The sequence below is a fragment of the Homo sapiens genome, chromosome 2, assembly GCF_000001405.40.
Source record: "Homo sapiens chromosome 2, GRCh38.p14 Primary Assembly".
NCBI lineage: Eukaryota > Metazoa > Chordata > Mammalia > Primates > Hominidae > Homo > Homo sapiens.
Genome location: NC_000002.12, coordinates 121466481 through 121489358, shown reverse-complemented (window position 1 = coordinate 121489358; position 22878 = coordinate 121466481). Strand labels below are relative to the sequence as shown.

The 22878-nt window shown below is 40.8% G+C and overlaps 1 protein-coding gene across 37 annotated transcripts in view; it reads left to right on the top strand.

The window, feature by feature from the left end:
• The window catches only part of CLASP1 (cytoplasmic linker associated protein 1), a 311687-nt gene that overhangs the window by 160104 nt on the left and 128705 nt on the right, over nt 1–22878 (top strand). For all 37 annotated transcript variants that reach the window (XM_047443792.1, XM_047443782.1, XM_006712383.2 and 34 more), the window contains one exon: nt 19399–19551. In XM_047443792.1, coding sequence (XP_047299748.1) covers nt 19399–19551 — 153 coding nt within the window. The remainder of the gene's footprint in view (nt 1–19398; nt 19552–22878) is intronic.

Here is a 22878-nt window from a genome sequence, read left to right as displayed (position 1 = left end):
AGCTATTTTCTTAAATTTGGTTAAGTTGGGCTGAAAGTACTGGAAGATGCCACATTTCTGCTCATATTTTTAAATTGAGAATTTAAAGTATATTTGTATTCTTTAATTGAGAATTTAAGGTATACAGTGATAATATTTTTATTTCATACCTAAGTATCATATTCTATTTTCAGGTTAAACTGCTGCAGGAAATCAATACCTGGGCAGGAGAGTTAAATAATTCATGTTCTGAAGTAACCTCTCTCAGAGCCTTTCCTTTGAGGATTTGAAAGTGTGTCACTTACAAGTAGCATTTGACTTAAGTTGTGATATTTTCATTTGTATTTAGCAACAGGTCAAAATAATATGAGAGTCAGCTTTTTCATGTTAAAAGCCATGGAGATAGCCTCCTGAATCTGAGTTTAAAATAAAGACGATTCTTTCACTTGATATATTTTTTCAAATTGCCTGCCTCCTTAGTCACTATCACCTGGAATTCAGGCTTACATGCTTTGGTAACTTTTACCCTCAGTAACTGCAGTCGTGATAGGAAACAAGGATTAAAATACTGTTTCTTATGGAAGTGGTATGTCTGAATCATGTATTAATTCATGACCATTAAAAATCTGCAAAATATAACAGCAGCAGGTCTCCCAAGGTGTGTAGAGTACTTTAGTGTTTTCAGAGCACTTTCCTGCGTTTTTTGTTTTATGAAGTTCACAGCAGCCCCATGAGGAGTAGGTAGGGCAGCTTTTGAACACAGATACTGAAGGTTTTGGGTTTTCTATAATTGGGTTAGTTGCAGGACAGGGGAGAGCCCTAGTTTTTGCTGTCTTAGACAAGTCTTTATTCCAGAAAGCCATTTTGTCAGGCCAAGTGCTCTGGAATCCCTCAGACTGGGTATGAGTGCCACCTCTGCATGGGCAGTTTGTGACCTGGGACTGGCAGCATGGCTGTCCACCTTCATTTTCTCATGTGCAAATTGGGGATGATAGTCCCTTTGCTGAGGAGCCAGTGAGGGGGCCTTGGGCCTGGCACATCAATCTCATCCTATTGATACAGGGACACATCCACTGTGGCAGCTCTAGGTGATCTCATAACAGGAGGTATGAAGGTTGAACTGAGGTTTAAAATAATATAGTTGATCTTTTTGTGTAGATATGGAAAGGTATTCTAAGAAAACAAGATGCAGAATTAAATGTATCCTAAGATCTTGTAAAAAGAAACCATCCAGTACCCAGATCTTGGTCACTAACACTACCAGGGCTCCTTGGGGAAATGGCTGAGTTTAGGGCTGGAGCAAGGTGAGCCAGTGTATCTCGCAGGGCCAGAAAGTAAGGAAGTGGTTGAAAAAATCAAAGAAAAAGCAAAACAAAACAACAGTGGGGGTATTGCTGAGAGACACAGGAGTCAACTGAAAGTGCTTCCAATAGCCAAAGCTAGAATGCTTTAAGCAACACAGTGAAGTATTGTTGAGTTTTAACCCAAAGTATAAAATAAATGTTAATGATCCATACGATGTAAACAAAATGATTGAAAAGTGTGTAAATGGAGATGAAGAGACGAACCTCTTGTGCAGAATTATTCCAAATCATTTATGCAAATATCCCATTCTAAAGGAGGGGAGCATAACTTCCTAGTCGGTCAGTGTGGTGGGTGTTCTTGATAGGATGTGATGAGAATGGCATTTTACCTCTGTGGTCTTCCTCCCAAAGCCCCATAAGCTCTGTGGAAACATGGCAGAAGCCTCAGGCAAACCCAAAATGAAAGATATTCTGTAAACTCCCTAACCATGTCAAGGTCATTGAAAACAAAGTCTGAGAAACTGTCACAACCTAGAAGAGCCTAGGGAGGCAGGATAACTAAATGTAATGTGGTGTCCTGAATGGGATCCTGGAGCAGATAAAGGACATTAGGGAAAAACTAAGGAATGCTGAATACGCTGGGGACAATAGTTAAAGGTAACAGTTGATCTGCGTGTTGGGTTATGTGCTTTAAGAAAATCTTTTTCACTGTTTCATGTATTTAAAACAGGTCATTAAAAAAAACAAAACATACAAAGATTAAAGACATGGACACCAGTAAGGATACTATTTGGTAATACAGATCTACCTGAGAGATGAGGAAGACCCGAATTAGGTTGGCCTCAGTGGGACTGAGAGGGAATGGAAGTGAGAGGTGGTTCTAAGCAGCACTGACCACACCCAGTGCTTATTTAGGGCAGTGGGTGGGGAAAGACCTGGTGGGAGATAGGAGGGGAAGAGTTAAGAGCAATTCCATATTTTGGCCTGGACAAATGGTGGTAGGACCAACTGAAGTCAGGAACCTGGAGGGGAGAGCAGGTTTTGAGGGTAAGATGATTATAGGTGATTATAGTTTTGGACACTTGGACATAGAATTTTGTTTGTACGTGAGTTTGATTCAGGTAGGTTTGTATCTTGGAGTAGACTTGAGATTGCTATTAGAGGATTAAGTATTATTGGAACATGGCTATTTATGTTAAATTGTCATCTTCTTTCTCTTTGTCTTCGTATGTAGCGGTATGGTATTTGCCTCTCTAGCTAAAGAGGGTTCTGGAGAAAGAGATCATTAAAGCAGAGATGGAAGATTTGAAGGATTATTTGCACAAATGGCAAATAGCTCTTAGTGTAATTACTTTAAAGTATGAGAGAACATTCTGGTAGGAAACCTTTTCCAAATTTGGCTCTAAGTTTTTCCAACTGACTTACTTTTGTGCCTATGTAGTGATTGTCAAAAAGAATTGGGTCAGGATTGCTACAGTGATAATTAAAATGACATTTCCAAAAGAGCACAGGGTGTAGATCTGATATCTGTGGGATTTGGGTTCTGACATTTATAACTTTCAGGGCAAGTTGGAAGGTAAAATAAGTACTGTGATCAAAGGGAGAAATGAACATTTAATCAATGAAAGGATATATGGTGACTCTTATGTAATATGACACTCAGAGATTATCTAAGGTGTTGAAATTTTAGTTGTTGACTTCTGGAAGTCTCAGTTTTCAGTCATCAGTTTGCAAACTTTATTCACATCCCTTAGTGTTGCTTAAAACTTTCCCCTTTGCCATGAAATAATAAAAATGTAAGTCAGAATATGCCCACTTAAGGCCTGCATTGTACCTTTTCAGTTCCTTTTTGAGGGATAAATGATGATTTCAATGTCCTACTATTCTCTAACCTATTACCAGGAAGAAGCTTGTGGTTGTCATTATTACTATAATTATAGTCACCCAGTCTCGTTCATTACTGCCTTTGTGTCTTTGCCATTCCTACCTTGCCCGTTTCTTGCCCCAGGGAGCTTGCACACATTATTCTCACTTAGAATGCACTTCACTTTCCTCATGCCTGCCTGGTTTTCAGGTCTGGGTGCAGAGGCTTCCTCAGAAATGCCTTGCCTGGACTTCTGTGGCCTCTAGGAATTCGCTTTCCTAAGGCTCCTTATGCTGGCTTATGATCAGCTTTGTGAGAATAAAGATGGGAGCTGCTGTGTTCACCTCTGAATTACGAGCAGCCTGCCCAGTGCCAGGCACAGGACGGGCATTTACAAACATCCTTGGCATACACAAAGGGTATGTGAGCTGGTGTGGTGGACCATGCCTGTAGTAGCTGGGATTACAGGCGCCCCCCACCATGCCCTAATTCTTTTTTTTCTTTTTTTCCAGCAGTGACAGGGTTTTACTGTGTTGGCCAGGCAGGTCTCAAACTCCTGACCTCAAGTGATCCGCCCGCCTTGACCTCCCAAAGTGCTGAGATTACAGGCGTGAGCCACCGTACCCAGCTCATGGGTCTTTAAAATACAAAATTTGAAGGAAAAACACACACACACAATTGGAAGGCCCTCTTTTCTATCTTAAAACAATTTTTGGAGTCTTTAGTGTACTTGGATTTCTTTATACAGAAATGAAAATGGTGTTTGAGCTTGGCTTACTATATTCAGTTATCTGCAGTTAGGCCAGGCTGTGATAACCTGTGTGCATATGCTGGTGGCCATGAGGGTAGACCCACAGGGTAAACCCTTTCCAAAGAGAAAGAGTACACTTTTTGTAGGGCCCCTTTTCCTGCCAAAACAGTTAGCCTTGCCCTGCTGCTTAGTCAAAGGCATTCTTTTGCTTCATTGTTCAAGGCAAATTGGAACCTTCCTTCTACCTTTCTCTGCCTCCTACTCTTAAATTCCATGTCCATGACAGAGATGCCTGAGTAATCCTCTCCCATGTAGATGAGGTTATGCCTTTGGTAAAAGGCCTACAGCATAGTGTGATTTGGCCTTCTCTGAACCACCATGTCCAAAATGTCTCTCACCACCCTCTGCCTTTCCCCTCACTTTGTTACAGAACACTGTTCTTTTTCTTCTTTGCCTTTATCACAGATTTGTCTTTACAAATGTCATACCCCTTTGTACTGGAAAGTCTCTTTGGGCAGTTAGCATGAATGTTTTATTCATACTGTATTCCCAGGAACTAGTAAAGTGCCTGAAATGTAGTAGATCCTCATCCTCAATGAATAAACAAAAGAGGGAGATAGTTATCCAAGTCAGGTGGCAACTAGCCTGCTCCTCCTGTAAACTATCTTGGCTGTTATTTCTTGAAGTAAATTAATGCTTTACTTATGAACTCAGAGCTTAAGAAAGAGAATCTGTTCTCTCTCATTCTCCCTTTGTTCCTTTCTTGTCCCCTTTTCTCCCACCTCTTCCCCACCATGTTCTCTTGTATCTTTCCATTGTTTCCTCCCACTGCCATCAAGAAGTCCATAGTCAACTGGAAGATAATCCTGGCCTCCATATTTGTGAGCTGGATGGAAGCCCTGTGATGGGGCCCAAGACCCTGGCCCTGCACTATTTGTGCTCAGAAGTTCCCTGCATGGTGGTGTTTGTGCCCAGCAAGGCTGACTTTTTGGCATGCAGGACAAAGGGGACCATGGGATGTTTGTTGGTGCTTATAAATTGGGTGTGAAATTTCTCACACAATGGTTGTCTTTGGCATAAATTGGGCAATGTGATTATTATGTGGGCAGTTGGCTTGGGAGCTGGGGAACACAGAGGGAAGCTGAAGGTAGTGGTGAGCAGGCTTCAGTGGTGGGCCGAGATGATGGAGATGTGGTGTGTGGCACACTCACTTGACCTATTTGGGCTAGAAAATGAGCATATGATCAAAGTGTGAGGACAGTTATCAAATAGGTACTTTTAGTAATATATCTATAATTTACAAAAATCTCTTTAAAGATATCCTGTACCTTACGTAGAATAACTGCACTTATCTGCACTTCCTTCTCCTAAAATACACTTGCTTGAAACCTCTCATGATGTTGATTCCTCCTAAGCTTTGCTTTCTTCCTGTTTTTAGCCTGCAGTTGTGTGGCCTGTATACCCGGCCATGCATCAGAATGTCTGGATAATTCTCTAGACAAATAATAGCAGGGAAGCTGAGTGCCATTTGCATTTAGGTTTGTAATACTACCCAAATGTAATTAAAAGAATTTTAGAAAGCTAACTACTTTGAAATTTTGAAACAAGTTATTTTTGGTTTATGTTAATTCTTTATAATTATGTAAATACAGCAATGAGAACTCTAGATTGCTATTGTTTTAAGCATATGTATGCTGTAGTTATCCAAAGGTGTTATTAAAATCATTGAAAACCATCAACTAAAATATGATTTTAACTTTTCAAATTGTAGGACTGGAATTATTTAGATTTGAATGAACATTGCACCAAAAAAACAGACATATTAATATTAATTGGAGAAAATAAACCCAAATTCTTGTGTGTGTGTATATATGTATACACACATATATATACATACATATATATACACACACATATATACATACATATATATACACACACATATATACATACATATATATACACACATATATATATACATACATATATACACACACACACACATATTCATTCATATTCTCCCTCTTTCTCTCTCTCTCTCAGATATTTGCTAGGAAAAACCTTCAGATTCCTAAAGTAAGAACTTATTTTTTCCTTCACTACAATGGTTAATTCTTTTCATGCTATCCTGACCTTTACTGAGCTATTGTAGATGTTTATAGTCATCCTGTTTCCACAGAGAGAAGCTTGAAAGCAGCTAGAAATTCATGGCCAGAGAGTACAGAAGACAATAGTGAGGTGATTCACAGACTAACTTTCTACCAGGCCCTGTGTGGGGCGGGGAGGGGGAAGAGGGGCAGATAAAGTAGGATGCCCAGATGGATGAAGTCAGTCTTCTGCCCAGGAGAGCTTTGGTATCTAGAAGAGGAAGATTCCTACAGATGACTACTTATTTCAGCCCCTCTCCCCTCCCTCTCTTGCTCCTGCTGGATGAACTCTGAGTTAGGTGGCTGATGGAGGGGACTAGAGGACGGTCCCAGCTCTGCGAACCTAGCAAGTGGGAGAAGCAGAAGCAGCTCTCTTGGAGAAGGCTCTGTCTGTTTTCATCTTACCCTGAGTCTGTCCGGTCCTGGGGAGAGTTTGAGGCACTAACACACATATGTCTGGAAATGATGGTCCTTAACGACACATGAAGCCAGGTTTTCAGTCTAAGAGCTCTTGTGGATGTTGAGGAATGGTGGACGTTTCTATGGAGAATTGAGTTCCTGTGGATGTTTCAGTGTGAGTGTCATTCCAGGAGATGATACTGTGGGCTCAGCTCAGGTGCTCACAGAGTTTTATGTTGGGGACTAGCTATTCCAGCAGGAAGGATAGTTTATCCCCATCTTCCCTAATTCACCCCCTAGGGTGCTCTTTGGTACTCTGGATATTAAAGTACCAGTCTCTTTGTGTTCCCTTCCTTTGCTTTTTGGCTCTAAGGGTAAGTTTATAGTCTTTCTGACATATGTTTAGAGATACTCTTCTTCAAGACTGATCTTAGTCACTCTTGGCGTGTCGCTGTAAGTTCTTTTCTCTGAGGAAGGCATAGTATTAACAGGGTTAACTTAAACTGGGCCTCCAGTTTGGCCAAGAGATTCTAACTTCAGGAACCCTAACTCCTGGACATGACTTGGAGACTTTGTCTTTAATTCTCTGTTCCCTAGTGTCCCGATGGGCACACTCGCAGAGTAGTGGGGCACCTGGGCCTGTCCAGGTGCAGAGGGAAGCTGGCTAGTTTGTTCATTATCCCCTGTCAGGAGTTCCTTGCCCCTGCTACATCTGTTCAGGAAGAGTCTTTGGAATTTGTTCTCTCTCGCTGTATATTCACTGAGCATGGTAGCCCAGGGTATTCCTGAGTTAAGTAGGATGTGCACACATTTAAAGCCGCTCACACTCTCAGTTAATGTTAAATGGACCCACGTAGTACGGGTCACATCCGAGGGTTGGTTGGTGGGCACAGTGGATCCTTTCTAAATTTGTTTGGCCCTATTTTGGATTCATAGGTCATATTGTGTGTGTGCTGTTAGGAAAACCTCACACTGAATCCTACATGCTGTTGATTGTGTGTGTTCCCACGTTGGACTGCACTCCAGAGTGAGAACCATGACTTCCCTTTCTGCATCCCAGCTCCCAACAAAGTACTTCAGACACAAGCATGCTTACTAGAGAAATGCTGGAGAGAAGAAGGAAGATGCACATGGTCACCTATTGGTATTCAGAGGCGGTATCCTCTCCAGTAGCCTTCCAGTGGTAGAGGCTAGGGCAAGACTGGTGCTCTGGGAGTCCGGTTTTATTACAGAAGTAACAAAATGATTAGTTTGAGACCAAATCACCTGTAAGGTGACCCTGTGCTCTGGACTTGAACTTCCAAGTTACAGGGCATGGAGGATTTGGAGAGAGTTTAAAACATTGATTCCACTTGATGAAAGCATATTCCTAATTGAGCTTTTTTCTTTTGCTTACAAATGACAAATTATTTTCTTTCCTGTGACCCTGAGAAAATTGTCATTGAGACCTCCTAAGGACGCTTGACAAAGGGGAAATGGATACTTTCCCTTTGGAATCAGTTCTAGAGAAGGTGGTTTTAACCTTTGGAATCAGTTCTAGAGAAGGTGGTTTAACCTCCATGTCTCAATAATGTCCATACATTTTTTTTTTGGCTGCCTAATTTGAATTAGTTGTATGGCCTTTTAAGCCCATTTTTAAAGAAAATTATGTTCCTAATTCCTCACTTCTATTGAAATATTTTTGAAGAGCTGGTTTTTTGCACGCAAAGCATAGCACAAATAATGAGGGTATAAAATAGCTGCCATTTGTCCCATACTTATGGTTTTCCTGTCTTTAATGCATTTTGTCTAATCTGCATTACATCCCTTTGATATAGTACAGAGATGCTTTGGGTTGCCAGCAATGCAGGCCTCATTCCAAGTGGTGTAAGGGAGAAGGGGAGTGACTTGGCTCATGGAACTGAGAAGTCTGGGTGTGTGGGTCTTGCGGTCCTCCTTTGGACGCATGCCAGGCATTAGACGTCGGTTCTCACTGCCCCTGACTCTGCTTTCTTTTGCTTTGCCTCTCTCTTAGGCAGGCACTGCCATTTGTTGGCTCCAACAGCTCCAGGCTTGTACCTGCATAGCTCTAAGTCCACAAGAAGAGAGGTTCTAGAATTAATTACCGTAATGGGTTGGGAGAGCCCTGATGCTGTGGCCAGGTTCCACTGAGGCAAACAAAGGTGTCATCACTCTGAGAGTGGGGGAGGGTGGTTACCCTGGGCTGTCAGTAGAAGAAGGGGGTTGATATTGGGTGGGCAGCACATTTCATAGGTAGACAGGATCATCCTTTTTCACACAGGGAAACAGAAGCCTATCTCTCTTCATTTTCTTTTTATACCTCAAATGAGGTTGGTCTTGCTGAAAGTGCAGGCCTGTGACGTTACAGCTCTGCCCCAGGACAGGCTCACTACCCAGTGCGAGCTGTGGATTTCTTCCTGCACAGAATCATCCCTGGGCTCCTCTGTTGTGAGTATGCCTGCATCTCTCTGGAGCCTGGTTATAAGTTATGTAGCAGCAGCCAGGGCATTTTCCACCTGAGACCCAAAGAGGAATTGTGCCTTGATCTGCACCTGCAGGGGGCACTCAGCAGCTCTTACCCAGTGTGAACTTTGAGCTCCTACAGTGCCTTAAGGAGCAGGCATCTGTGGAAATTGGCTTTCTGCCCTCCTCACAGTTCATTTACCTCTCCAGTTTCCGATGGTGTTTTCCTTGCCTGTCTTTCCCCGGTGTCGTCCCATTTGACCTCCCTTTGTGAAGGACTAGTAAAGCTGAAATGAATTTTGAGTTGTCACCTGTCTGTGCTCTAGTTCTCTCTTCTCACGTTATCTGTACCAGTGGTGTCATTGTTGAGATCGTCTTAAAATGCCAGCCCAGCTTTTTGGCAGCAAGCTTTTGGGTGGAAGGAATGGAACGTGATTGCATTCCACGCTCACTTCTGTGGTAGAGGATGGATTACTGGTGCCAAAGGGCAGAAGTAGCACTCTGCTAGCACCCTCAGAGCTTCTATTATGCCATTTCCACCTTTGTATTGTCAAAAATGCCAACATTTCCAGCCAAGCTGGAAATTTTTATATTCCCTGTGTTCTGACAAAAGCCTTCCTTAATTTTGTAAACAGGGAGAGGGATTTTTGTTTCAGAATATGGATATTGGAAGATTTTTTGTACAGAGTGGTAGAACCGGCCCTAATAACACTGGTCCATATTGACTGGATTGGGGGTGATACGTGTACCCCAGTTCCCATACTTTGATGGAGAAGGGGAGGTAGGAACTTAGAAGAAAAAGTCTTTATCCAGCCATTCAATTCAGACAGTGTGTTTTGCACTTTTACACTTTTCTATTTATCCAACTTCGGTTAAAATTAAGAGGAAACAGATGGGCAAGGAATATAGTTTGGATAATGAGCAAAAATTCCTCTGATATATGAACATGGAATATCTTTCTACTTATTAGGTTTGTCTTTACTGGATCTTAAGAATGTTATGTAGTTTCCTTTTGTTGAAGTTGTTAGGTGTTTTTATTGATGCTATTGTTGTTTTCTTAATTTGATGTATAGAATATACGATGGATTTTTAAATATTGGTTTTATATCCTGTAACCTCACTGAACTTGTTTATTGGTTCTAAGTTTTTGCATGCATTCTTTAGTGTTTTCTACATACCAAATCAAGTCATTTGTAAATGGAGATAGTTTTAGTTCTTCCAATCCAGTCTGCATGCTTTTTTTTTTTCTTTTTCTGGTCGGATTTCCCTGGCTAGCACGTCTACCACAATGTTGAATAGAAGTAGTGAGAGTAAACATCTTCCCTTGTTCTTGGTCTTAGGGGGAAAGCATCCGGTCTTTCACCATGTTGTTGATGGTGTGTGTGTGTGTGTGTGGGGGGGGGGTGTGTGTGTGTGTGGGGTGTGTGTGTGTGTGGTGTGTGTGTGTGGTGTGTGTGTGGGGTGTGTGGTGTGTGTGTGGTGTGTGTGGTGTGTGTGTGTGGTGTGTGTGTGGGGGGTGTTGTGTGGTGTGTGTGTGGTGTGTGTGGTGTGGTGTGTGTGTGTGGTGTGTGTGTGGTGTGGTGTGTGTGTGGTGTGGTGTGTGGTGTGTGTGTGGTGTGTGGTGTGTGGTTGTGTGTGGGGTGTGTGTGTGGTGTGTGGTGTGTGTGGGGTGTGTGTGTGGGGTGTGTGGTGTGTGTGTGGTGTGTGTGGGGTGTGTGTGTGGTGTGTGTGTGGTTGTGTGTGTGGGGTGTGGTTGTGTGTGTGGGGTGTGTGTGTGGTGTGTGTGGGGGGTGTGTGTGTGTGGGGGGTGTGTGTGTGTGTATGTGTGTGTGTGGTGTGTGTGTGTGTTTTGAGACGGAGTCTGGCTCCATCGCCTAGGCTGGAGTGCAGTGGCGCAATCTCAGCTCACTGCAACCTCCCCCTCCTGGCTTCAGGCGATCCTCCTGCCTCAGCCTCCTGAGTAGCTGGGATTACAGGAGTGTGCTGCCACGCTGGGCTCATTTTTGTATTTTTAGTAGAGATGAGGTTTCACCATGTTGGTCAGGCTGGTCTGGAACTCCTGACCTCAGGCAGTCCGCCCGCCTTGGCCTCCCAAAGTGCTGGGATTACAGATGTGAGCCACTGTGCCCAGCCTGTAGGTGGTCTTTATCAGGTTGCGGGAGTTCTCTTCTAATCCCTGCTTGTAGTGTTTTTAGCATGAAAGCGTTTTACTGTGTTTAGAGAATATGTTGTTTTTTGTCTTTTATTATATTAATATGACAACTATGATGTATATTGAACAAACATTACATTCCTGGGATAAGTCGCACATGGCTATAATGTTAATTATTTTTATATGTTGCTGAATTTGGTTCGCTAGTATTTTTTGAGGATTTTTAATGTTCATAAGAGATATTGAAGATACTGTACTTGAGAAATTATCTTAAATAATTTTAAGTAAGCAAACATATGCAGTAAGAATTAAACAACACAATGTGCAGAACATACTTAGCACAGTGCCCAGCACCTCCTAAGCATCAGCTTATGGGAATTGCTTTAAGACCAAAGTGACAATAGTCCTTCTCTCAGCGTTGTCAGGAGGATTTAATGTGACTATGCAAAACCAAACCCAGGACCTGGTACACAGTTGTGTGCTGTGATTCTATTAGTTGTTACTTTTCTTGTTACTTTTAAGCATACTGACTGCAGTGGTATTATGAAGGTGAAAAATTGAAAACAATTCAATATCAATAAATAGATGATTGATTAAATATAGTCTATGCACAAAGTGTCACAATAAGTAGTCTTTAAAATTGACTAGATTAATATTGATCTAGAAAAATATTGGCGTGCAAAAAAGCAGTTTTTATGCATGTGTGTATAGAATTCATGTTTATGAATGCATTAAAGTCTAGAAATACATATATATCAAAGTGTTAGTTTAATTTGGGGAGCTTATATTGCTTATAGTGGAACTATGACTTAATTTTAAAATAGGTATATGTTTTATCAGGAAAGAAGGATATACATTTCTTTCTAGCAGGAAAATTTGGAAGCTTAAAAAGTATTTGAGGTTTTAATTGTCTTTGTTGATTTGTCTTCAGTTATTTTCATAGCCTTGTTTGAATTTATTATCCAATTAAACCATATGCACGTTAAAAAAGTAATAAAAGCTTCTAAAAAAGATATATGAGAAAAGATTTTCATCCATTCACAAATTTTGCCTTTCTTCATGTGGACTACCAGAATTAAATTTTTCTGAATGTCTACTGGGTGTTGGCCCAGACTCTGTTCTAGATGTTGTAAATACCAAGAAGAATACAAAGTGGTCCCTACTCCAGGGACAGAGAGACCAAACAGATCTGCAGCCAGCTAATTTCAGGGGGCAATGAAGTAAATGGTACACGCAAGTTAGAGCCGGGCAGGATCTCAGGCTAGCAGTAGACTTGTGTTTTCAAGAATGCATAGGGGTGTGTCTGGCAGACAGGACAAGAATTGCAGATAGCAGAAACAGCCTTTGCAAAAGGTTTGGAGCTCTGCAAATTCAAGAAGAAAGAAATTTTGGGATATTTATGAAAAGCAGCCGCCTTTGGGCTCATTATCCTGTCTCTGTGCAGCTTCCTCTTGAGAGAGCTAATTATAGTCTAGTTAGTAGGCTGCCACATTTCTTACTCCCTTGGAGGAGAATCTCAATTAGCAGGGAGTGGGTGAATCTGAAAGCCTGTCAGGATAGCAGCTTCTTCAAAGTGACCCTGCTGCAGTGAAGCAGAGAGATAGTTGTCTTTTCTTTAGAAAATGAGGCATTTTCTCCCCATTGGGCTTCTATCCATCAAAGCCTGCCTCAGAAGAAGAGAAGGAAAAGCTTTGTAGTTTAGGTTCTGGCTTTCCTGGCAGATAGGCAATGAGCAGTTATTTCTTAGTTTCTGTGACTTTTTGTTGGTCGTTATAGATGAGTGTTTAAATTTTCCGAGCGAACAGTATGGCCCAAAGCTTCTAATTACAAGTTCCAGACACCAGACTTGAATTCATGTTTGTCTTTAGATTGATATCTCTGCCCCTCATAGCCAAACTTGTAGCCACAGTGGTATATTCCTTCTGATCTGTCTGTGGCTTGTTGCTTGGTATCTCCCCTATGCAGCCTGGTTAAAGTTCAGTTCTGGGGCAGCTGGGCTCTGCTGGGGCTTTCTTAGGGACTTCAGTGGAGGCTGCTGAAGGGACTGGTTCTGACCTCCTAGTGCTGGCCCTGGCTATCCCTCAGCCTCTCTGCAGCATCTGGACCTCAGTAGTAGACCTGTTCAGCTTCTGGAAGTCTGCTAGTTTGCTTCTAAGGCCATGGATGATTGTGTTTGTAATCTGGCTTTATTTTTACTGTTTTACTGCTATTTTTCCCTTCATTATGTCTACTTATTTGGATTGCCAGGGGTGGGGTGATTCAGGGTTGGATGAAAATTATAGTATCACTCTGTAGAAATTTCATGAGTCATTTTTAAGTGGTTTATCCTGATGCTGTAGAAGGTGGAATGGAGCTCAGGTGATTTTTAAAGAATCAAAGGAGGTGATGCTTGCTAGGAACTGAAGGCTTCCATCTGCTTATTTCAGATTTCTACCCGAGACTATCAGATGAGAGAAGTGGCCCTCCCATGGCAGTCTGCAGTGGGGCTGAAGATACAATTAATTATTTCTGTGGGCTTAAAGAGAACTTCCCCTTAAGACGATTTTATGTGTAACATATGTATTATGTGAAAATGTTAAAATTGATGTAATGGCACAAGCCTGCAGTTAAAAATACTCATTTTTACCCATTTCTGCCTTAGTTAAAGCACTAGAAAAAGAGGTTAGATACTACCAGACGTATGCTTAGCAGAAAAGCCTAAAGAAAATGGGAATCCAAATGGCTAGTAGAGTTCAGTATGGGTTAATTTAGCTGAGAAATACTGTAACGTTAGAACCTGGATGTGAGACTCTTCATCCTGGACTGTAACCATGGTCCAGTTGCAGATACAGCTTATTTGCCCAGTTAAAGAATGGCTCATTCCACATAGTGGAATTTCCCAGTTAACTGAAACTAGGTACCTTTCTGATGACCCAGCCTCCTTTTAAATTGAATCTTAATTTCTGATATCTGAAAAGCTAGGAAACATAGGCTAAACTTATTTTTAAACAGTATGTTAGTTAAGTTTTCAAATAATTGGCTCAGTTGGTTTTTATCCTCCAAAAGCCTTTGCAGGTGTTTCAGTTCAAAGCATTGTGTCCAGCTCTTAATCTAGAAAATAAATACACTTTTTATCCTTTGTTTTCCTGAATTTCCAATCGAGATGGGAAATGTGAATTACTTCCTTCACTAACTCACAGATCATTGAAAAATTGAATCTTAAGTTGTTGTGCAGGGTCATTGTGCTGTTATTGTATAGATGTGATTTGACCCCTGTACTGTCAACTGTATTCTAAGCATTTTGGGTTTAGGGGTTTTTATGTGCATGTGTTTGCTTTTCGTAGTTTCTATTAGGCTATTAGGCCTTCAGCTCACTTATTAACATTACTTTGCTTAATTCTTGCGTCCTCCTTCTCACTATCCCTATAGTTAGTTGCTTCTAATCTGCTTAGGAAATCAGCTAAGTAAGCTTGTTAGATTTGTTTCCAAAGGGTAAGTAAAAAGACAAGCAGCCTCCTAAAGTTCGGTTTAAAAAGCCCTACATTGGCTGCTCAGTATGCCCTTTCCTCCTTCTCTTTTTTATTTGAAACGGAGTCTCGCTCTGTCACCCACGCTGGAGGGCAGTGATGCGATCTTGGCTCACTGCAACCTCTGCCTCTTGGGTTCACGCCATTCTCCTGCCTCAGCCTCCCGAGTAGCTGCGACTACAGGCACCCACCACCATGCCCGGCTAATTTTTTGTATGTTTAGTAGAGACGGGGTTTCACCGTGTTAGCCAGGATGGTCTCTATCTCCTGACCTCGTGATCTGCCTGCCTCGGCCGCCCAAAGTGCTGGGATTACAGGCGTGAGCCACCTCGCCTGGCCTCCTCCTTCCCTTCTTTGGGCAGCATTACATACAGGTGTTGGTGATGAAGGGCATGTCTTCTCAGTAAGGTTTGTGATACACTATTGTGTGACATCTTCAGGCAATTTAGACAAGTTATGATTAACTTTGAAAAATATATGCTCTTTGAGGATGGAAATGGAACCACTTCCATTTTCTTCATGCCTTCCCTGTGCCTTACTTCCTGTATAGTTTTGTGTGTGTCATCTAGTACAGCAACATATATCCTAATTTTGGTTCCTCTGGCCCCCAGGTTATTGGCCTATTACATAAGAATATAAAAAGAATGAAAGCTAAATATTTTTGCTTTAAACAGTCAGTCATCTTTTATAGAAATGATAATGTGAAAGAATTAAAACAGGAGAATAAATAATAAAATATGAGGAGAAAGTCTTATATTTATCCACATATTTACTGTATCTACTGTTCTTTATTTCTTTATCTAAATCCAAGTTTCCAACTGGTATCATTTTTCCTTTTGCCTGAAGATCTTCCTGTTACATTTCTTGAAGTGCGGGTCTGCTGATGACAATTTTTGTTTGTTTGAGTTTTTATTTTGCCTTTATTCTTAACATGTTTTCACTGGATATAGAATTCTAGGGTACTTCTAGGTGAATACCATTTTCAAGCATCATTTCCATTGTGTTCTGGCTGGCAGGGTTTCTGATGAAGTCTGCTGCTGCTTTTATGCTTGTTCTTCTGTGTGCTATGTCTCTTCCCCTGGCTGCTCTTGTCTGGGTTTAAGCAGTTTGATTATGATGTGCCTCCGTATGCTTTTCTGTGTGTGTGTCTTGCTTGGGGCATGCAGCTTCTTGGATCTGTAGGTTTATAGTTTCTATCAAATTTGGAAATGTTTTGGCCATCATTTCTCAGTCTTTTTCTGTCCTTCCCCTTCTTCCCCTCGTCCTGCAGGCCTGCAGTGTTGTGTGTGTTAGACTGCTTGATATTATCCTTCATGTCTCTGAGACTCTATTCCGTTTATTTATTTTTTCAGCCTATTTTGTTTCTGTGCTTCTGTGCTTATTTTGGATAAATTCTATTGCTATATGTTTAAGTTCCCTGATTTTTTTCTTTACTTCTACAATGTCTAGTCTGCACTTAATCTCAATCAGTGAAATTTTCATTTCAGATATTATGTTTTCTTAAAATCTGTAAGTTCCATTGGATTCTTTAAAAAAACTTTCTTTTTTCTTATGAATGTCTATGTATTTTAATATTGAACATAGTTATAATAGAAGTTTAATGTTCTTATTTCATCATTTCTCAGAAGTTTACTATTTTCTGATTTTTTTGCCCCTCCTGATTATGGGCCACATTTTCTTCCCTCTTGTCATGTTTAGGAAATTTTTTTTTAAGGCTTCTCTGTACATAGTGAAGGAATTTTTTATTAGATATTGTGTATTGTGAATATTACCTTGTTGAGTGTCTGTGTCTTGTTATATTTCTTTTAGGAATATCATGCTTTGTTTTGGCAAATCAGATAAGTTACTTGCGGTCTGCCTAATGCCCTGTAGGCCTGCTTTTAAGCTCTGATAGGGCAGATTTCATTTAACTTGCACTCCAGACATACTTCAGTCTCACTAAGACCTGACTCTCTGGGGGTCTCCATTGAATGCCTTGGGTGGGTCACCAAGAACATTCCACTTTGGCTGTTTGGAGCTTCCCTACTTGTGTAAACTCTAAGAATTTTTCATTTCACACCTTCTTGGTTGTTTTCTGCCTTGCTTCCTGGAAGTTCACTCACACACGTGAGGCCTAGAACTTAGCACATTCCTGTAGCCCTCTTTCTGTGTAGCTTCCTGTAATTTCTAGCACCCTCAACTTCTCTGAACTCTGTTCTTTACTGTCTGCAGTATTTAATCTGTAGGGCTACTATGTTTAATTTGAGTTCCCCTTCCCTGTACTTGGTGACCTGGAAATTATTAACACCTCCAGGCAGAAAGTTGGGGTGATTGTATAGCTTGCCTTGTTTGTTTCTTTTCTTGCAGGGAGAAACAAACAAATCCATATCTTTATGCAAATTAGCTGAACAGCCAAGTTCTGAACTGCCCGTTGTCCGGTGCCTGCACGTAGTTCTTTTATATATACTGTCAGGTTTTCTAGCTATTTATTGCAAGAGGTTAAGTCATCCACGTCTAGTCTATCACTGATGCAAGCAAAAATTTCAGGAATTCCATTGAAATTGGTCCATTGAAAATAATTCTTGGCAACTGAGTACTGTTCTAAATGACATGCCTGCATATTTTAGAAGACTGAACTAAACATAATTTACATGAATTTGTGAGTGAAGCGTGATAGTGTCTTCATGTCTCCCATTTATTTTTTACCTGTCCCACAGACTGGAACTGTTCCCACTCAGCAGAATGATTATGATTTAAGGTAGTAGAATAATGACAGCAGTTCGTATGTTCTTGGAGCTCCCCAGAGGACAGATAGGCTGAGTGAGATCTGTCCTTGTCACTGCTAATGCTGGCAGTACTCAGTGGGTGACTTTTCCTTTGGGTTGTTCTTATTCCTTACATTAGACTTAAATTTTCCTTTTGGGAAGGCCATTATGAACCACTTTCTGAATCCACGGGAAGTCTATGCTAATTAAGAGCACTGTACATCTGAATCAATGAAAAATGGATGTATGGATTGAAAGAACCATCTTGAAACAGAATGGCATAACAAGACAATCTGGGGGATTTAAAGGCACAGTGAAAGGAGCTAATCTGCATAAGGACATGGATTTGTGAAGATGTCTTTCCTCCTCCCCCTACGCTGTGTTGAATAAACTGAACCATGTAATTTGGAGGGCATTGTTGTTGAGTTTTAGGGAGCATTGGGGTCTTGAGTAGACACAAGACTTGGCTGTTGATAATTTAGCTTAAGAAGCAACTAGATCAAGGAAAACAGGATTCTATTTGTGTGTTTTTTGGATAGCAATGATTTATTTCAAACTTATTGGTAAAGAACTAATGCCCATTTCAGAAATCATGAATATTGCCAGCTACAGATGTTGTTTTTTTTATTTAAATTACTCTTAAGTTCTTTGTTTAGCCTCCTAAATGACTCACTCTTATACTTGATACATAAACTTTAATTTTGCATCATTAAAGTGTTTGCATAAATATGTTGATTTTTAAGATTCCAAAGATGTTTCTTTTTTCTCGAGACAGGGTCTTGCTCTGTCACCCAGGCTGGAATGTAGTGGAGTGACCCTGGCTCACTGCAGCTTCAAGTTCCTGGGCTCAAGTTGATGCTCCTGCCTCAGCCTTCTGAGTATCTGGGACTACAGGCACACGCCGCCATATCTGACACATTTTTTTATTTTTAAGAGACAGGATCTTGCTATGTTGCCCAGGCTGGTCTTGAACTCCTGGCCTCAAGCAGTCCTCCCATTTTGGCCTCCCAAAGTGGTAGGATTATAGCTGTGTTTTTTTAAAATTTTAAATGCAACTTGAGGAGTATTGATTGGATCCACTGCTGTTTAGAAAATTTAAAAGTTAATGAACTTACGAAAAAAATGTTCATCTTCACTAAAAAAGAAATGCAACATAGAAAGTGAAGTCTTTTTTTTCACCTGTCAGATTGATTAAAGTTTAAAAATGGTAATATTAAATGTTGGCAATGGTGTGGAAGGATGAGTACTTCTTTGAACTTCTAGGAGAAATGTACATTTATATGACCTCTCTGATAATTTTGGCACTATACATCAAGAACTTTTACACTCTTTGACCTACTATTGTTGCTTCTATGGTTTTCATTCCTAAAACTATTGGAAATTCAAACAAACAAAAAAAAGTGTAGGAAAGTATTGGCAATATTGCATTTCTAATGGTGAGGAATTAGAAACACCCTAAATATCTAACAATAAGAGTGTTTCACTTGTACCATTTTCCACTTACAAAGTACCATACAATTATTAAAATGGTGGTTATGAAAAATATTTCATCACAGAGGAAAAATTTACATATTTGAAGTAAGCACTATTCCAATATGATATATACTCTCATCTCAGCTGTTAGTTTAAAGTGTGTACCAGGTGACCAAGTACAGTGGCTCATGCCTGTCATCCTAGCACCTTGAGAGGCCAAGGAGGGAGGATTGAGTGACAGTGAGACTCTGTCTTCAAAAAAAAAAAAAAAAAAAAAAAAAAAGCATGGATGGTCAGAAATGTTGCAGAATGTGAAAATAACTGTTTCAAGGTGGTGGTTTTATGAGAGATTGTTTTCTTCTTTATATTTGTTCTATTTTTCAAAATTTGAGTGCAAAAGTATTCTGGGTATGTGAAAGCAAGTATGATCTTTGTAGCTTCATTCTGGGCTTAACCTAAGGCTTTCCAGACCCTAGAGGAGCACCTCAGATTCCAAAAGAGTATGCAGAATCAGTCTCGAAGACTAATTGTTTTATAATCAGGTGAAAAAGTATATATATATGTATATATAGTTTTTGTTTTTAAAAAAACGTTGGTTTCTGTGCTTACTGTTCAGATAAAAATTTCGACGATGAAGATTCTGTGGATGGTAACAGACCTTCCTCTGCTAGTTCTACATCATCCAAGGCTCCACCAAGTTCTCGGAGAAACGTTGGAATGGGAACCACCCGCCGGCTTGGTTCATCCACCCTTGGATCCAAGTCTTCAGGTTAGTCTAAGCCCTGTGTGGCGTTCTGGGGTCAGCTATGCCAGCTTTTCAAACCAGAGGTGCACGTACTTGCCTGTGGTGGCCCTCAGAAGTGATACAGTCCCCATATGCAGCAGGTTTCTGCCTGCTATTCTTTAATTGAATTAGCATTGCGATACTGATGCTGATAAGCTGGTAAGTTGTAAATTTGAGCTACTATGTTGACTTTTGCCACATTCTAGTAAGGTGGAGCCTGCAGGAGAAGGAAGCCAGCACAGAGGAAAGCATAGCTCAGAGATAAGAGCAAGAGCGCACCCTCATCACATTGTTTAGTTATCTGGATCCAGCAATGCCTGAAACCACTAGGGGCATTTTAGACAATTTCTATTTAACAAGACTGAGAATAATCCAGAAGTCACACTGTAACTCCTGTCTTTAAAATATATTTTGTAGACTGGCCCCTAGGTATTGGGGCATGTGTGTATACTCCGCATGCAGGGTCGTGCTGTGGGTGGTGGTGACCAGCCATCTCTGCTCCAGTTCCCAGTGAGCCATGGTGAGGTGGCAGCTGTTGGTGTGTCTGTTGGGTGGCAGCATGAAGTAGAGCTGGGCCAGCGGGAGGTAGCTCTGTGGGAGTGGAAGGCCTGTATTTCTCTACCTGGACCGCAGGCTCTTCATGCAGGAAGGGCAGAGCTCAACACCTCAAAGACAATCTGTAGAAAGCTGAGTAGCAGCAGCCCCACGGAAGAGTGACCAGACTGTTAAACGAAAAACAAACAGAAAACAGCAACAACAAAAAACCCCATCCAAAGGACCACAACCTCAAAGATCAAAGGTAGATAAGCCCACAAAGATGAGAAAGAATCAACACAAAAGCGCTGAAAACTCAAAAAGCCGGAGTACCCCTTTTCCTTCAGATGACCGCAACCCCTCTCCAGCAAGGGCTCAGAACTAGGCTGAGACTGAGATGGCTGAAATGACAGAAGTAGGCCTCAGAATGTGGATAATAACGAACTTCACTGAGCTAAAGGAGCATGGCGTTGGGCTTAGGATTGGGGTTAGGGTTAGGGTATTCACATAGGAAGAGAGGAAGTCAAACTATCTTTATTTGCAGATGACATGATCCTATATCTAGAAAACTCCATTGTCTCAGCCCAAAAGCTTCTTAAGCTGATAAGCAACTTCAGCAAAGTCTCAGGATACAAAATTAATGTGCAAATATCGCTAGCATTCCTGTACATCAACACCAGGCAAGCAGAGAGCCAAATCGTGAATGAATTCCCATTCACAATTGCCACAAAAAGAATAAAATACCTAGGAATACAGCTAACAAGGGAAGTGAAGGATTTCCTCAAGGAGCACTACAAAACACTGCTCAAAGAGATCAGAGACGATACAAACAAATGGAAAAACAGTCCATGCTCATGGATAGGAAGAATTAATATTATGAAATGGCCATACTGCCCAAAGCAATTATAGATTTAGTGCTATTCCTATTAAACTAACATTGACAGAATTAGAAGAAACTATCTTAAAATCCATATAGAACCAAATAAGAGCTCATATAGCCAAGGCAATCCTAAGCAAAAAGAACAAAGCTGGAGGCATCACTCTATCCAACTTTATACTATAAGGCTACCCCTAACCAAAACAGTGTGGTAGTAGTACAAGAACAGACACATAGACCAATGGAATAGAAGAGAGAACCCAGAAATAAAGAACCCACGACTACAACCATCTGATCTTCGACAAACCTGATAAAAACAAGCAATGGGGAAAGAATTCCCTGTTTAATAAATGGTGCTGGGAGAACTGGATAGCCATATGCAGAAAATTGAAACTGGACCTCTTCCTTACACGCTATACAAAAATCAACTCAAGATGGATGAAAGACGTAAATGTATAACTCAAAACTATAAAACCCTAGAAGGAAATCTAGGCAATACCATTTAGGACATAGGCATGGGCAAAGATTTCATGACGAAGACACCAAAAGCAATTGCAACAAAAGCAAAAATTGACAAATGGACCTAATTAAAGAGCTTCTGCACAGCAAAATAAACTGTCATCAGAGAGAACACTCAACCTACAGAATGGGAGAAAAATTTTGCAATCTATCCGTCTGACAAAAGGCCTAACATCCAGAATCTGCAAAGAACTTAAATTTACAAGAAAAAACAACCCCATTAAAAAGTGGGCAAAGAAAATGAGCAGACAGTTACGAAAAGAGGATGAACATGCAGCCAACAAACATGAAAAAAAGCTCAACATCACTGATTATTAGAGAAATGCAAATCACAATGAGATACCATCTCACACCAGTCAGAATGGCTATTATTAAAAATTCAGAAAAACAATAGATGCTGGCGAGGTTGTGGAGAAAAAGGAGTGCTTTTACACTGTTGATGGGAGTGTAAATTAATTCAACCACTGTGGAAGACAGTGTGGCAATTCCCCAAAGACCTAGAGGCAGAATTACCATTTGACCTAGCAGTCCCATTATTGGGCATATACCCAAAGGAATATAAATCATTCTGTTATAAAGATACATGTATGCATATGTTCATCCCAGCACTATTCACAATAGCAAAGATGTGGGATCAACCTAAATGCCCATCAATGATAGACTGGATAAAGAAAGTGTGGTACATGTATACCACATTCATAAAAAGGAACAAGATCATGTCCTTTGCAGGGACATGGATGGAGGTGGAAGCCATTATCCTCAGCAGTCTAATGCAGGAACAGAAAACCAAATACTACATGTTCTCACTTATAAGTGGGAGCTGAATGATGAGAACACATGGACACATGGGTGAGGAAAACACACACTGGGACCTGTTGCAGGGTTTGGGGTGGGAGGAGGGAGCACATCACGAAGAATAGCTAATGTGCTGGTCTTAATACCTAGGTGATGGGATGATCTGTGCAGCAAACCACCATGGCACACGTTTACCTATGTAACCAACCTGCACATCCTACACATGCACCCCTGAACTTAAAAGTTGGGAATAAAAATAAATAAGATAAAACACATTTTGTTCTTACAAGCAACATGGTTCCTTGTGAGACCAGTATGGATGTTGCATTAAATAAATTGTAGGAGATTTCTCCCATAAATTCTTCCTTTCACCCCTAATGTAGACAGTTTGGTTGTTATATACAACTCTTATTTTCTCTCAAATTTTACATTTACATGCAAATTCCCTCTGAAATTTATCTCAGAAAAATTGTGTAGGTGCTGCTCTTAGAACCATTTTCACTGATGGCTGTGAGCTTTGAGCAGTTGGTGGTGGTGGGGATAGTGGTGGGTGGGGAATCCCATGAGCCAAAAAAGATGAAGCTGAG